This window comes from Homo sapiens, chromosome 22 (assembly GCF_000001405.40).
Source record: "Homo sapiens chromosome 22, GRCh38.p14 Primary Assembly".
NCBI lineage: Eukaryota > Metazoa > Chordata > Mammalia > Primates > Hominidae > Homo > Homo sapiens.
The window spans coordinates 15,788,338-15,805,499 of NC_000022.11; the positions used below are offsets into that span (position 1 = coordinate 15,788,338).

The following is a 17,162-nucleotide window of genomic DNA, read 5'->3' on the forward strand; positions in this document are numbered from 1 at the left end:
GTGTTTCACATTTCCACATAAATTTTGGCATTGTTTCTTTATATTTCTTAAAACACTATTTGTCATATACTAAATGTATACAATTAAAAGGTACAAGGAAGATTTTGATACGTGTATATGTTGAGTAATGATAAAATCAGGTTATTTAGCATCTCTTTATCTCATATAGTTATTATTTTTGAGTGGTAACAACATTCAGAATCTTTCCTTCTAGCTACTTTGAAACATATGGTACATTTGTGTTAAGGCTAGTCACCCTGCTGTGGAATAGAAGGCCAGAATTGATCAGTCTCATCTGAGAGTAACTTTGTACCCATCACTGATTCCTTCTGAGACTGCCTCCACTTCCCCAGCAGCCTCTGGTAAGCCTTATTGAACTTTCCACTTCTAGAAGATAAAGCTTTCTTCAGTCTGCATGCCTGAGATCACGTGGCATGGGACTTTCTCTACCAGCCTTATTCTTTGAACCTCATGTTCTTCAGGTTTCTTCATGTGGCTGCAGATGGCAGGATTTCCCAAAGGTTTCTGGCTGAAACATATTCCGTGGTGTATCTGTACAGCAGTTTCCTCATCCCTGCAGCTGTGTTTGAACAGGTAGGTTGGTTCTCTACCTTGGCCACAGTTAAGAGTGCTTTAGTACCCGTGGGAAGGCAGATAGCTCTCTTCAACCTAGGGACTTCAACTGCTTTAAATGTGGAACCAGTGGTGGGGCTGTTAGCTGACATGGTAGTTGTACTGTGAATTTTTTCAGAAACCTCTAGCTGTTTTTTATAGTGTGTATACTAATTTACATCCTCACCAATAGTGTTTAAGAGGTTACCTTTCTGTAAGTCTACACTGGATGTCACCTTCAAAAATTTGTGTTTTGTTTTTGGTAGTACTCATTCTGAGTGGAATGAGACGGAATCTTAGTGTGGTTTTCATGGACATTTTTTTGTGAGGTTTAGTGATGTCGAGAAAGTTATTTGAGAAATCCCCACATTGCTTTCCATGGTGTCCGAACTAGTTTGCATTTCCACCAAGAGCAGACCAGCATCCCTCCTCCTCTGCCTTGCTGGTGTTCATTCTTGTGGACTGTGTCATAATTGTCATTCATCAGAATGTGTGAAATACTATCTCATGGGCCTTTAGCTTTGCATTTCTCTGATGATTCCTGAGGTAAAGCAATGATATCTTGTCTGTTGGTTGCTGTAAACCTTCTTTTGAGATGCATGTTTTCATGCCCCTTACCCTTTCTTCATTGAGTTTTTGTTTTTCTGATTTATTTGCTTAATGTATTTGAGGTAGATCCTGGATATTAGACTTCATCAGATGCGTATGTGGGAACATTTTCTCCCATTGTGTAGGCTGTCTGTTTACTGTGTTGGTAATTGCTTCTGCTGTGCAGCAGCTCTTTTGTATATTAGGCCCCACTTGTCAATAATTGTTTTAGTTGCACTTGCTTTTGGGGACTTAGGCATAGCCATGCTCTGCCAAATCCTCTGTCAAGAAGGGTATTTCCAAGTTCTCTTGCAGGCTTTTCATAGTTTGAGGTCTTGTGTTTACATCTTTCATTCATCTTGAGTTAATTTCTGTGCAGGGTGAGACACAGGGGCCCACTGTTTTTCTTCTGCAACTGGCTAGCACTTTATCCTGGCACCATCTATTGAGAGGAGGGAGTCCTTTCTCCAAAGCTTATTTTTGTGGATTTTTTTGAAGATCAGATGGTGTTAGGGGTGTGGGTTTACATCTGGGTCCTCTAATCTGTTCCACTGCTCTGTGTGAAATGGGGTCCCTAGCTTTTCAATGAAAATTAAAATCGGGAAGTGTGACACAACCAATGTAGTGTGGACTTCTCAGGATTGCTTTAGAAATTCAGGGTGTTTTGTGGTCTGCATGAATTTTAGCATTGCATATTTACATATTTTTTAAAAGGTTGGCCATATAGTAAAGGTATACAATGGGGGGAGTTAGAGTGGGGCATTTTGGTTAATGCAGACACAGAGGAATGTTAAAATCAGGATATTTAGAGTCTCTGTTATCACAAACAGTTGTTAATTTATTTGTGGTGAAAACATTTGGAATCTTCTTTTCCAGATTTTGTGAAAAAGCTGTGATGTTTTGTTAACCTCTGGTCACAGTGCTGTAGAACAGAGAGGAACAATTCATTGCTCTCATCTAAGTGTAATTTTGTACCTATTTCTGATCCCTGCCCATGCCTCTGCTTCCTTCCAATCTCTGGAAACCACTGTTGTGCTCTCTAGATCTATTGCAATAAAGCCTTTTATTTTGGGTTCTACATGAGTGAGATGTGGCAATGTTTTTCTTTCTCTACCTGGTTCAGGTCATTTACCATGCTGTCCTCCAGGTTCAACAGTATGGCTCCAAATGATGAAATTTCATTCTGATTTTCTGGCTGAAGACTATTCTCTTTGTGTATGTCCACCACAGTTACTTTATCCCTTCATCTGTGGATGGGCAGGTAAGTTTATTCCTTATCTTGGCGATTGTGAATAGTGCTGCAGTCCACATAGGATGGCTGATACCTCTTGCATAAACTGATTTCTTTGGCACTGAAAGTATACTTAGTAGTAGAATTGTTAGATGAAGTGGTAGTTGTAGGTTTAATTTTTGGAGGAACCTCCCACTGGTTTCTGTAGTATGTATACTAATTAACATTCTTTTTTTTTTTGGATGGAGTCTCGCTGTATTGCCCAGGCTGGAGTGCAGTGGCATGATCTCAGCTCACTGCAAGCTCTGCTTCCTGGGTTCACGCCATTCTCCTGCCTCAGCCTCCTGAGTAGCTGGGATTACAGGCACCCGCCACCACGCCCAGGTAATTTTTTATACTTTTAGTAGAGACGGGGTTTCACCGTGTTAGCCGGGGTGGTCTCGATCTCCTGAACTCGTGATCTGCCGGCCTCGGCCTCCCAAAGTGCTGGGATTACAGGCGTGAGCCACCGTGCCCAGCTGTATACTAATTAACATTCTTACCAAATGAGTTTTTCTCTGGAAATTTCCACCAGCATTTGTGTCTCTTTTAATATATTGTATCACTTTGATAACATCCATTTGAATTATAGTGAGATATGTGTGTTGTTTTGATTTATATCTTTCTCATGGTTTGTGATGTTATTCAAGTTTTTAAAACTTGTTTTCAATGTTATGTCTTTTTTGTAGAAATGTCTATTCAGGTTTTGTTTGGTTATTAGTTTCTCTTTTGTGTTTTTGCTAGTGAGTAGTGTTAGTTGCTTAGACATTTTGAAGACAGCCTTTTATCAGATGTATGTTTGTCGAAACGTTTCTTGTAGAATGAAACATATATGGAAATGTTCTGTGCAATCAAAACAGCAGTGGTAACAGAGGAGATGTAGGCTCTGAGTGTCTCACTGGAGACTGAAGTCCACAGATATGCAACAAAGCCTTTGTCTCCCTGATGTTTTTGCCTCCTGCTGGTCATGTGCTTTCACACATCAAGAGAGGACATTTAACATTTGAGCCACAGTGTCATTTGCTGTTGTCTGATGGGTGAGATTTTTGCTGGCGTAGTCCATATTGTCATATGTTCTTGGGGCCCACAAGATTATTCTTGGTCATCTAAGATGTTACTGACATCTTATCACCTTAAGATGTTGCTGACTTAATCACCTTCAACTGACTCCTATTCATTCTTTGAAATAAGCAGACACATGTTGTTTCAGTGATTCTTTCAGTTGGTGATTTGCCTGGTGCATTGCTGTGTGAGGTCACCTCCCGTCAAATGACCCACAGGTGGTAACAGTCTGTGAACAAACAGTTTACAGGAGGGACCAACCATGTGCGGACGGACATGGGGTGGGTCATTTCAAAGTGAGGTAGTCAACCTGGGCCCTAGACTGGCACAGACAGAAGAAGCCACAATCCTTTAGAGAGAAAAAAATTACAAAGTATAAATATCCTTTGTTAAGAGAAATAGAGACCATTTTCAGAGGGCGTAATAGTATTAAAATGTGTTCTCATTGTTCAGCTCCCACTTACGAGCGAGAACATGCAGTGTTTGGTTTTCTGTTCCTGTGTTAGCTTGCTGAGGATGATGGCTTCCAGCTTCATCCCTGTCCCTGCAGAGGACTTGATCTCATACCTTTTTATGGCTGTGTAGTATTCCATGATGTATATGTAGTACATTTTATTTTTCCAGTCTATCATTGATGGGCATATGGGTTGGTTCCAAGTCTTTACCATTGTGAATAGTGCTGCTATAACCATACATGGAGCAGATGGTTCGCAAAGCAAGATGGACCTCTGAGCAAGATGAGCTCCAAGCTTGATGGAGCTCAGAGCAGATGGAGCTCCAGGTGAGATGGAGCTCCGATTAATATGAAGCTCGGAGCAGATGTTTCTGAGTATGATGGAGCACCAAGCCTGTGGTCTCAGAGCAAGATGGAGCTCCGAGCAGATGGTACTCAGAGCCAGATGGAGCTAGGAGTGACTGGGGCTCTGAGCAAGGTGGAGCTCAGAACAGATGGTGCTCAGAGCAAGATGGAGCTTGGAGTGATTGGAGCTCCAAGCAAGATGGAGCTTGGAGCAGATGGAGCTCTTAGCAGATGGAACTCAGAGCACCATGGAGCATGGAGTGTCCAGCTCAGAGCAAATATAGCTCAGACAAGAAGGAGCTCCAAGCAAGATGGAGCTTGGAGCCGATGTTCCTCTGTGTAAGATGGAGCCCAGAGCAAGATAAAGCTTGGAGTCGTTGGAACTCTCAACAGTTCTCTGAGCAGTTGGAACTCTGAGCAAGATGGAGCTCTGAACAAGATGGTGCTCAGAGCAGATGAAACTCTGAGCAATAAGGAGATCTAAGCAAGATGGAGCTTGGTGCAGATGTTGCTCAGAGCAGATGGTGCTCAGAGCATGATGGAGCTCAGAATGATTAGAGCTCCAAGCAAGATGGAGCTCAGAGAAGATTGAGCTTGGAGCAGATAGAGCTCTGAACAAAAAGGAGCTCCAAGCAAGATGGAACTTGGAGCAGATGTTGCTCGGTGTAAGATGGAGCTCAGAGCAGATGCTCGTAACAACATGGAGCTTGAAATGATTGGAACTTAAAAACTTTACTCTGGAGGATTGGAACTCTGAGCAGATAGTGATCAGAGCAAGATCAGCCTCGGAGTGATTAGAGCTTCGAGCACAATGGGGCTTGGAGCAGATGCAGCTCTGAGCAAGATGTAGCTCAGAAAACATGTTGCTCACAGTAAGATGTAGCTTGAGCAGATGGTGTTCAGAGCAAAATGATGCTGGAAGTAATTGGAGCTCTCAGCAAGCTGGAGCTCGGAGCAGATGGAGCTTGGAGCAAACGAAGTTCAGAGCAAGAAGGAGCTCTAAGCAAGATGGAGCTTGGGGCAAATGTTCCTCAGTTTCAGATGGAGTTCAGAACAGATGGTGCTCAGAGCAAGATGGAGCTCAGAGAACATGCTGCTTACAGTAAGATGGAGCTTCGAGCACATGATGCTCAGAACAAAATGGAGCTGGAAGTGATTGGAGATATCAGCAAGATGGAGCTAGAAGATGCAGCTCCGAGAATATGGAGCTCTGAGCAGAGGGTACTCAGAGCAAGATGGAGTTTGGAGGGATTGGAGCTCTGAGAAAGATGGAGCTTGGAGCAAATGGAGCTCTGAGTAAATGGAGCTCTGAGCAAAGTGGAGCTCAGAGTGATGGAAGCTCTAAAGCAAGATGGAGCTGGGAGTAGATGGAGCTTCAAGAAGATGGTGCTCAGAGCAAGATGGAGCTTGGAGTGATTGGATCTCCGAACCAGATGGAGCTCAGATCAGAGAGACCTCTGAGCAAGAAGGAGCTCCAAACAAAATGGAACTTGGAGCAGATGTTGCTGGTGTAAGATGGAGCTCAGAGCAGATGGTACTCAGAGCAAGAGGGAGCTCAGAATGATTGGCACTCTGAACATTGCTCTGAGCAATTGGAGCTCTGAGCAAGATGCAGCTCAGAGCAGACAGAGCTCTGAGCAAAAAAGGAGCTCTAAGCAAGATGGAGTTTGGAGGAGACGTTGCTTGGTTTTAGTTGGAGCTCAGAACAAAACGGAGCCCACAGTGATTACAGCTCCAAGCAAGGTAGAGCTCAGAGCACATGTAGCTCAGAGTAAGATGAGCTCTGTCCACATGGTGCTCAGAGCAAAATGGAGCTAGAAGTGATTGGAGCTCCCAGCAAGATGGGGCTTGGAGTGATTGGAACTCCTAGCAAGATGGAGCTCAAAGTGGATGGATCTCTGACTAGATGGAGCTCTGAGTAAGATGAATGTCTATGCAGATGTTGCTCACAGCAAGATAGTGCTTGGAGCGATTGGCACTTCGAGCAAGATGGAGCTTGGAGCAGATGGAGCTCTGAGCAAGATGGAGCTTGGAGTAGATAGAGCTTGGAGCAAGAAGGAGCTCCAAGCAAGATGGAGCTTGCAGCAGGTGCTTCTCAGTGTAAGATGGAGCTCAGAGAAGATGATGCTCAGAGCAAGGTTGAGCTCAGGGTGATTGGCACTCCAAACATTGCTCTGAGCCCATTGGAGCTCTGAGCAAGAAGGTGGGAAGTGAGCAAGAAGGTGAAGAAGTGATACATTCCCACAGAACATTACAAGTTTAGCGGAAGCTATTATTGAATGTAAAGAGAAGAATGCCCCAGAATTCTATGTGGATTGTCGGGACAATACTCATTTCTGTAATCAGGCCTACTTTCTTTTAAAAAGTTTATCATATCAAACCTCACAAGGACAACCAGAACTCTGCGATATCCACTCTACAAACCTCAGACCCCTACAGTGTAGTAAAGGTGGCAGCCAAGATAGAAAGACAGAAACACACTGTTTGATGACCAGTCTTTGGAAGTTGAGACAGCAAATGTGGATTTACTCAGATTATTTTCCTGTCAGCACCTCCAGGTGTTATTTTGATGGTACTTTGCATTGGGCTGATGACACAATGGGGAAACATAAACTGCTGACGCTGGACTTCAGCAGTACAGTAACAGCCATGTGCAAGGCCATTGAAAAAGTAAAGACTGGTGGTTACATTGCCACGTGTTTTTCTGCATGGCATCATCATCTTAACTATGGACTTTATGTGCTTTCACAGCAAGATGTTTCTAGTATTTAGAAATGGACCTTATGCATTGTATACTTCCTAAGAGCTTGGAAAGCTCTCACCCAGGTACTACCAAATGCCAGACATCTCTCTATGTGGGCCATTTTCTGCCACAGCCAGAATTCATTCTGGGTGACATGCTGTTCTTGGCTGCTAAGGAAGTGATGTGGGGGAGCCAGGTGTCTCTCGCTGTCTGTGAGTCTATGGGAAAAAGGAGAATACTGAAAGGCACTAAGTTTACTGCCACGTTTAGAGGAGCTTTGTCAAGGCAACACAAGAGTGTTGTAGTCCTTTGTGGCCAACACCAACCTGAGTTTTTACAGCAGTTGTTGCATAATGATCACAGTCACATTCAAGTTCACTTTCTAAATCTTAGGTTCTACAAAAACTCTGTCTGATAATGTCCTATAGACCTTTCGGTAGCTAAAATCAATGAGTTTGAAAAATAATTTGAATTTGGCTTGCTCACCTTTTCAGCAGAATGCACTTGTGAGTCCTGCTCTGTCATTGTATTTTACATGTGTGGCTGTCCCTCTTGCTGTGTTGGAAGTCAGTGTTCCAGAATGTTAACTTCTACAAATACCTATGTATAGAGCAAAGAGAAAACTCTTCAAGTCAAAAGAGTGTATATTATTTCAGGGCAGCTCTCTAGCCTTGGATTTGAAACTATAGTATTTGTTACACAGAGAGAAGATGGTTCTTTTTTGTATTTTATTTTTAATGTTTGTGGGTACATAGTATTTATGGAGTACATGAGATGTTTTGACAAGGGCATTCAATGTGAAAAAAAACACATCCTAGAGAATGGGGTATCCCCTCAGTGATTCTTTGAGTTACAAATATTCCAATTACACTCTTTATGTTATTTTCAAATATATGATTAAGTTATTATTGACTATAGTCACCTGGGTTTGCTATCAAATAGTAGGTTTTTATTATATATTATTTCTTTTTTGTTTTTTGTATCCATTAACAATTCCTGCCTCCCCCTCACTCTCTCACTACCCTTCCCAAGCTCTGGTAATCATCCTTCTACTCTCTATGTCCATGAGTTTAATTGTTTTTATTTTTAGATCCCGGAAATAAGCGAGAACACATGATGTTTGTATTTCTGTGCCTGGCTTATTTTTCTTGACATAATCATCTTCAGTTCCATCCATGTTGTTGCAAATGACAGGCTTTCATTTTTATGGCTGAATAGTACTCCACTGTGTATATGTACCACATTTTCTTCATTCATCTGTTGATGGACACTTAGGTTGCTTTCAAATATTAGTAATTGTAAACAGTGCTGCAGCAAACCTAGGAGTGCAGAAATCTCTTTGATATACTCATTTCCTTTCTTTTGGGTATATACCAAGCAGTGGGATTTTTGGATCATATGGTAGTATATCTGTTTTTTTTCAGGAAACTCCAAACTGTTCAAGGAGATAGTTCTGTTGTGATTACTTCATTGAGAAATTTAACTTATGAGCAGTTGAAAGGAATGCAAGTTGCTGCAAAATCAGAATGAAGAGTGCAAAACGACCAAGCTACAATGTTTTGTCATTATTCACTCTGATGTGAAAAAGGCAGTGAATTTAATAGAAAATAACTTCGTAGAGCAAAATCTCAGGTGTGTTTTTTTAGTGCCGCAGTCTTGGATGATGGGTTCCTAGAAGCTCTCAACATCTCTTCTTAATTGGAGAAAGTGTTAAGCCCCAAAGTAGCTGGAGCAGTACATCTTCAATTTTTGACAAGAAAGCAGGAACTTGATTACTTTGAGTGCTATTCATTAGTTTCTGCTTTCATTGAGAATGCAACAAAAGCCAACTAGGCTGCTGCTAACTCCTTGCTGGACTTCTTCTGCCACTGTCACAGGAACTGTAATCTCACTGGACAATTAACTAGGGAGTCTTTCATCTTGAGTGACTGCTGCACAAATGATCTTCAAAGCATTTTAGCCACCAGAGGAATTCTCTTGAAATACCCAAAATCCATCAGTATCTTGAATCATGCTGGATTTTGAAGAATTCTTAACAAGCCATGTAAAGGGGGCTCTCTGGCCTTGAAATAGTGATGTTTTTTATACAGAAAGGAGAATGCAGAATGGTCAGACTACCATGCACTGTTAAATTTGATTTCAAGAAATTACAGGAAAACTTTCCAAAGTTCCATCTCACAGAAATTATTTTTACAAAGAATTCCAAGATAAGTTTAGTTTTATGGAAGACTTTTATGTGGTTTTTACTCACTCTTCATCTCAGACATCAACAGATGATTACATCACTTATTTAGCTAGTAAATTTATTAATATAAAAACTCAGAGACATTCCAATATCCACATTGCTTACACCATTAGTCATAGATTCAGTGTCAGCTATGACAATTGAAAATAAGCTGTTTTGTGATTTAAAGGTTTAAATTTCTCTAACCAAACTGCTTGATCCAGATGCAGGACTGCAAATGTTAATATTTGTTCTGGAAGAACAATCAAATAAGACTTAAGAGGAAAAGGAATGGCCACAATCCACCTGAAATTTTTTTTTAAAAAGTGTGCAGCCTACTAAATCAGAATGAAAATAGAAGTACAAGATTATAAACAAAATGCAATCAAACTTTTCTTAAGCTTACCTAAAGTTATTTCATCTGAAAATTTCAAGCAACTTTGTTCAACATTAAATTGACAATCTAAACTAACAAGTCTTTTGAATTTATGCATGGTAGTAAACATTCTCTCTATTAACTTTATTACCTAAGGCTAAACCTAAAATTTTTAAGCAAAATTAGAAAAATAGTCTTCACTCATCAAAAAATAAAGTTTGTTACATTTAGTATTTTCCCAATAAAATTGGTCGTTCTTGGTTTTTTATTTGGAGAGTCTGTGCAAAATGTCACTAAAAATAAATTAGCACTAGAAATTATTTCTAAATACCAAAAAAAAAAAAAATGAAGAATGGTTTCACAAAGAAAAAAAGAAAACTTTCTTAATTAGCAGAGTATCATCTCTGTGATTTTTGTGATTATTTGATCAGTGTGCTGAGATGGATACAATGGCAAGTAATGACAAAATTAAAATAAGCATGCAGATTTTTTTAAATTAAGTGCCAAAAAATAATGGGTCGTGCAAAGCCCTTAAAAACACTGTGGCCTAATTCTAAAGTTTTTTGCTACTATGCTACATCACACCCAACATCAGTTAAGTGCTCATTCTGTGACAGGTAGTACATTACACTTTAGCAAACTACACAAGACCCCTATGTGATAATATGCTTCGGGGTTGTAAGGTTGGGTGCGTTTAGTAGTCTTGAATTTTCTGGGAGTATACAAACCCAATATTAGTCTAGATGCCCAAAGATCTATTTAGACGTCAAAGTAGAATGGAGAGAAATCTTGACCACAGGAAGCTGTGTTGTGGCATTTATTTTGAAATTATTTTTTCTTGATTTTTTTGCCTTTTAATTCTTTTGTGAGTTTTATAATGCACAGAATATTTTTAAATTATTATATATATAAACTGATTAGTCTTCAATTTAAACTTACACCTCTGGGGTCTTACTTGGGTTTCTCCTAACAATATTATACACATATTTGCAATAATTTCTCTCATACTGCTTTTAACTCATTTAATTTTTCAACTTTTTAAGAATAACAAAAGTGATATTAACTGTAAAAATGCTGAAGTGACATATGAATTTATGAAGTGCATATGTATTTTTTATTTTACCAATGAGATGGGAGAAATGCTGTCTTATATTTTAACATACATTTTGGCCATTACACAGATGAAGCAACTTTTCATTTGTTAATACATAGCATACGTTTTCTTCTGTGTAATTCCTCTTTATATTCTTTGCTCATTTTCCCACTGGGATTTGCAAGTTCTTTATTATTTGATAATCTCTATACATTCTGAATATCCATTTTTTTGTTATGTATACCATGTAAATATTTTCTTCTAATTTGTTATTTGTCTCAATGGTATTTATCAAGTGTTTGCTAAAAATGAGTTTGTTTAGTTAGTAAAATTTGTCTGTCTTTTACTTCATGATATTTATATTTCATGTCATGAGGAAAAGGCATGAATATTTTAAAAACTTCCTTGTAGTATTAATTTTATTTTTTATTTCATTCTTTAAGTTATTTGAAATTTATTGTTTATTTCTTCAAATTCCAAATAATAACCAACTTTCTCAAAGTAATACTTCTTTCTACTGATTTCAAATGTTACATTTGTCTTCTCTGAAGTTCTTGTCTATTTGATACCTGATGGTCACACTACTGCTGTGGATGTGCTTCGTACCACCACAGTACTGCAGGGTTATAAGATTATCTGATAGCCAATAGAAGCAGACCTCTACTCACTGTCATTCTTTTTTCTTTTGGAGAAGAAAGTTAGCTATTTTTATCTGGGTTCTCAATTTTTTTTTTTTTCTTTTTGAGATGAAGCCTTGCTCTCTCACCCAGGCTAGAGTGCAGTGGCATAATCTTGGCTCTCTGCAACCTCTGCCTCCCTGGTTCAATTGATTCTCCTGCCTCAGGCTCCTGAGTAGCCAGGATTACAGGCATCCATCACCACGCCTGGCTAATTTTTTTATTTTTAGTAGAGACAGGGTTTCACCATCTTGGCCAGGCTGGTCTTGAACTCCTGACCTCGTGTTGCACCCACCTCTGATTCCCAAAGTCCTGGGATTACAGGCGTGAGCCACCGCACCTAACCGGGTTCTCAGTTTTGTATAAACTTTAAAGTAGATTATCAAATCACATACCAATTGCCATCTGATTGAAATTTCAATGTTTTTATATGTAAGTTTCGAGACTAAAGCCATCTCTATTCTTTCAGCACTTCAGATGTTTATCTTTCAATTCAAAATGTATTCTAAGTTTTATTTTGATGTTTCTTTGTGAATTATTCAGAAGTTTGTTGTTTGATTTCCAAACACTTGTGTGCTTACTAAGTATCTTATTGATATTCATTTTTTTCTTTTTTAATTTATATTTTAGGTTCAGGGGGTACACGTGCAGCTTTGTTATGTAGGTAAATTGCATGTTGCTGGGGTTTCATGGAAAAAATAATTTAGTCACTGAGGTAGTGAGCATAGTACCTGATAGGCATAAGTAATTTTTCAATCTTCACCGATTTTTCACCCTCTACCCTCACACAGGCCCTAGTATCTATTGGTCCTTGTTTTGGACCATGTGGAGCCAATGTTTATCTCTCATTTATAGGTGATAATATATGCTGTCTTTTTCTGTTTTTGTGTTAATCTGCTTAATTTGTGGGATGTAGCCTCCAGCTACATCCATTTTGTTGCAAAAGCCATAAATTTATTGTTTTTTTGTTGCTACACAGTATTTCATGGTGTATATGTACCAATTTTTTTTCTTTTTGAGATAGAGTCTCACTCTGACACCCAGGCTGGAGTGCTGTGGCATAATCTGGGCCCACTGCAACCTTCGCCTCCCAGGTTCAAGCTATTCTGCCACCTCAGTTTCCCAAGTAGCTGGGTCTACAGGCATGTACCACCATGCCTGGCTAATTTTTGTATTTTTAGTAGAGATGGTGTTTCACCATGTTGGCCAGGCTTTTCTCAAACTCCTAATATCAAATGATCCGCCCATCTCGGCCACCCAAAGTGCTGGGAATACAGGCGTGAGCAACCACGTCAGGCGGTACACATTTTTTTTTTCTAGTCCACCACTGATGAGCCTCTAGGTTGGTTCCATGTTTTTGCTACTGTTAATAGTGCTGTGATAATCATACAAGTACATGTGTCATTTGGTAGAACAATTCATATTTCTTTGTGTATGTGCCCAGTAATGAGACTGCTGCGCCAAATGGTAGTTCTGTTTAAGTTTTTTGAGAAATCTTCACACTGCTTTATACAATGGCTGAATTAATTTACATTCCCAACGGAAGTGTATAAGATTTCCCTTTTCTCTGCAACCTCAGCAACATCTGTTATTTTCTGACTTTTTATTAGTAGCCATTGTGATTGGTATGAAATGGTATCTCATTGTGGTTTTCATTTGCATTTCTCTAATGATTAGTGATTTTTAAAATGGAGCATTTTTTCATATTCTTGTTAACAGCATGTATGTCTTTTTTGAGAAGTGTCTGTTCTTGTCCTTTGCCCATTTTTCAATGAGGTTGTTTAGTTTTTGCTTAAAAATTTTTTTAAGTTCCTTACAGGTTCTGGATATGAGACCTTTGTCAGATCCATAGTTTGCAAATATTTTCTCCCATTTTGTCGGTTGTCTGTTTACTCTGCTGATAGTTTCTTTTGTTGAACATAATCTCCTTAGTATACTTAGGTCCCACTTGTCTATTTATGTTTTTGTTGCAATAGCTATTGGAAACTTGATCATAAAATCCTTGTTATTGCCTATGTCCAGAATATTATGTTCTGGGCTTTTGTCTAGGGTTTTTATACTTTTAGGTTTTACATTTAGGTCTTTAATCCATCTTAAGTTGATTTTTTTAATATGTTGGAAGGAAGTTGTCCATTTTAAATCTTCTGAATATGGCTAAACAGTTATCCTAGTACCATTCATTGAATAGGGAGTCTGTTCCCATTGCTTCTAATTATAGACTTTGTCAAAGATCAGATGGTTGTAGGAGTGCAGCCTACAACCTTCTCTAATCTGTTCCATTGGCTTTTGTGTCATGGTTTTTGTACCAGACCTATGATGTTTTGGTTACTATATCCTTGGAGTATAGTTTGTGAACCCTCAAAATCTGAGACAGTTCTCAGTTAATTTACAAAGTTGACATTGCCCAGCTAGCCATATGTAGAAAGCTGAAACTGGATCCCTTCCTTACACCTTATACAAAAATTAATTCAAGATGGATTAAAGACTTAAATGTTAGACCCAAAACCATAAAAACCCTAGAAGAAAACCTAGGCAATACCATTCAGGACATAGGCATGGGCAAGGACTTCATGTTTAAAAACACCAAAAACAATGGCAACAAAAGCCAAAATTGACAAATGGGATCTAATTAAACTAAAGAGCTTCTGCACAGCAAAAGAAGCTACCATCAGAGTGAACAGGCAACCTACAGAATGGGAGGAAATTTTTGCAATCTACTCATCTGACAAAGGGCTAATATCCAGAATCTACAATGAAGTCAAATTTACCAGAAAAAAACAAACAACCCCATCAACAAGTGGGCGAAGGATATGAACAGACACTTCTCAAAAGAAGACATTTATGCAGCCAAAAGACACATGAAAAAATGTTCATCATCACTGGCCATCAGAGAAATGCAAATCAAAACCACAATGAGATACCATCTCACACCAGTTAGAATGGCGATCATTACAAAGTCAGGAAACAACAGGTGCTGGAGAGGATGTGGAGAAATAGTAGCACTTTTACACTGTTGGTGGTACTGTAAACTAGTTCAACCATTGTGGAAGTCAGTGTTGCGATTCCTCAGGGATCTAGAACTAGAAATACCATTTGACCCAGCCATCCCATTACTGGGTATATACCCAAAGGATTATAAATCATGCTGCTATGAAGACACATACACACATATGTTTATTGCGGCACTATTCACAATAGCAAAGAGTTGGAACCAATCCAGATGTCCAACAATGATAGACCGGATTAAGAAAATGTGGCACATATACACCATGGAATACTATGCAGCCATAAAATTTATGAGTTCATGTCCTTTGTAGGGACATGGATGAAGCTGGAAACTGTCATTCTCAGCAAACTATCACAAGGACAAAAAACCAAACACCACATGTTCTAACTCATAGGTGGGAATTGAACAAAGAGAACACTTGGACACAGGAAGGGGAACATCACACATTGGGTCTGTTGTGGGGTGGGGGGAGGGGGGAGGGATAGCATTATGAGATATACTTACTGTAAATGATGAGTTAATGGGTGCAGCACACCAACATGGCACATGTATACATATGTAACAAACCTGCACATTGTGCACATGTACCCTAGAACTTAAAGTGTAATAAAATATATATATGTATATAAAAATAAATGGCTGATCAGGAAAAAAAAATTTAGGAAGTAGAATTCAACAACACATCAAAAAGATTATACATCATGATTAAGTGGGAATTATCTCTGGCATGCAAGGCTGGTTTAACATATGTAAATCAATGTGATATATCACATTAACAAAATGAAAGATAAAACCACATGGTCACCTGAATTGATGCAGAGAAAGCATTTAACAAAGTTTAGCAACCTTTCTTGATAAAACCTTTTAATAGTTTATGTATAGAAGGAAAGTTCCTCAACATAATAAAGACCGTTTATGAGAAACCCATGGCCTACATCATAGTCAGTGGGGAATAACTAAAAGCTTTTCTACTAAGATTGAGTACAAGATAGGGATGCCCAGTCTCATCACTTTTATTGAACATAGTACTTGCAAGAGCAATCTGATGAGGAAAAAAAAGCAACTAAATTAAAGAAGTAAAATTATCTCTATCTGCAGATGACAAGACCCTTTATGTAAAAAACTCCAAACATTCCACAAAAAACTCTGAGAACTACTAAATCAATTCAGTTAAGCTGCAAAGTATAAACTCAACATATAAAAATCAGTTGCATTTCTATATACAAATAACCTAGCTGACAAAGAAATCAAGAAAACAATCTCATTTACAATAACATCAAAGAAAAACATATACTTAGGAATGAATTTAACCAATAAGACGGAAGATGTGTACACTTGAAAACCATAAAACATTGATGAAAGAAATTTAGATATGAACAAATGAAAAGATATCCTATGTTTATGGATCAGAAGAATTAATATTGTTTAAATGTTCACACTACCCAAAGCAAATATATAGATTTAACACAATCCTCATCAAAGTTCTGGTGGCATTCTTCACAGAACAGAAAAAAACAATCCTGGCCAGGTGTTGTGGTTCATGCCTGTAATCCCAGCACTTTGGGAGGCCGAGGCAGGTGGATCACGAGGTCAGGACTTGGAGACCAGCCTGGCCAATATAGTGAAACCCTGTCTCTACTAAAACTACAAAAATTAGCTGGATATAGCGGCATGTGCCTGTAGTCCCAGCTACTCGGGAGGCTGAGGCAGGAGAATTGCTTGAATCCGGGAAGCAGAGGTTGCAGTGAGCCAAGGTTGTGCCACTGCACTCCAACTTGGGCAACAGAGTGAGACTTCATCTCAAGAAAAAAACAAACAAACAAAAAAAAAAAACAGAAAAAACAATCCTGAAACTTGTATGGAACCACAAAAAACCCCAAACAGCCAACAGATTACTGTGAAAGAAAAAGTTGGAGGCATCACACCTCTTGATTTAAAATTGTATTACAAAGCTATAGTAATCAAAACAGTATGATACTGGCATAGAAACAAAAAGTATAAACCAACGGAACAGAACAGAGACCTTTGAAATAAATCCAAACATATACTGTCAACTAATTTTTGACAAGGGCAAACAAGACAACACAATGGAAAGAAAAATAGTCTCTTCAATAATAGTGCTGGGAAAACTGGATTTTCACATTCAAAAGAATAAAAATGGACCCTGATCATACACCATACACAAAAATCAACTCAAAACAGATACAAGACCCAAGACCCAAATAAGACCTGAAACCTTAAAACTCCTAGAAGAGAACATAGGGGGAAAGCCTCTTGACATTGGCCTTAGCAATTATTTTTTTGATATCACACCACAAGCCAGGCTACAAATGGAAACATAAACAAGGAGGACTGCATCAAACTAAAAAGCTTCTGCACAGCAAAGGAAAAAACCAACAAAATGAAAAGAGAACCTACAGACTGGAGGAAATATTTGCAGATCACATATCTGATAAAGAGTTAATGTCCAAAAATCAGTAAAGAACTCTTTTAATAACAGGAAAACAACCCAGTTGAAAAATGAGCCAAATAGGAAATGACCAATAGCAAATGGGGAGACGTACATTAAGAAAATACAAAGCAGACATATAGGATGATCAAGTTAGAGATCTAATGTACATCATGAGGGCTATAGTTAATAAAAATGTATTGTCTTTAGGATTTTTGTTAAATACGTAGATTTTAGCTGTTCCTGTCACACAAAAAAATGT

General features: G+C 38.7%; 1 pseudogene across 1 annotated transcript in view; it reads left to right on the forward strand.

Annotated features, from left to right (window-relative positions):
• The window catches only part of DUXAP8 (double homeobox A pseudogene 8), a 42,481-nt pseudogene that overhangs the window by 3,384 nt on the left and 21,935 nt on the right, over window positions 1–17,162 (forward strand). The window contains exons 3-6 of the transcript NR_122113.1: window positions 248–362; window positions 483–594; window positions 2,324–2,461; window positions 2,673–2,815. The product of NR_122113.1 is annotated as a double homeobox A pseudogene 8 (transcript). The remainder of the gene's footprint in view (window positions 1–247; window positions 363–482; window positions 595–2,323; window positions 2,462–2,672; window positions 2,816–17,162) is intronic.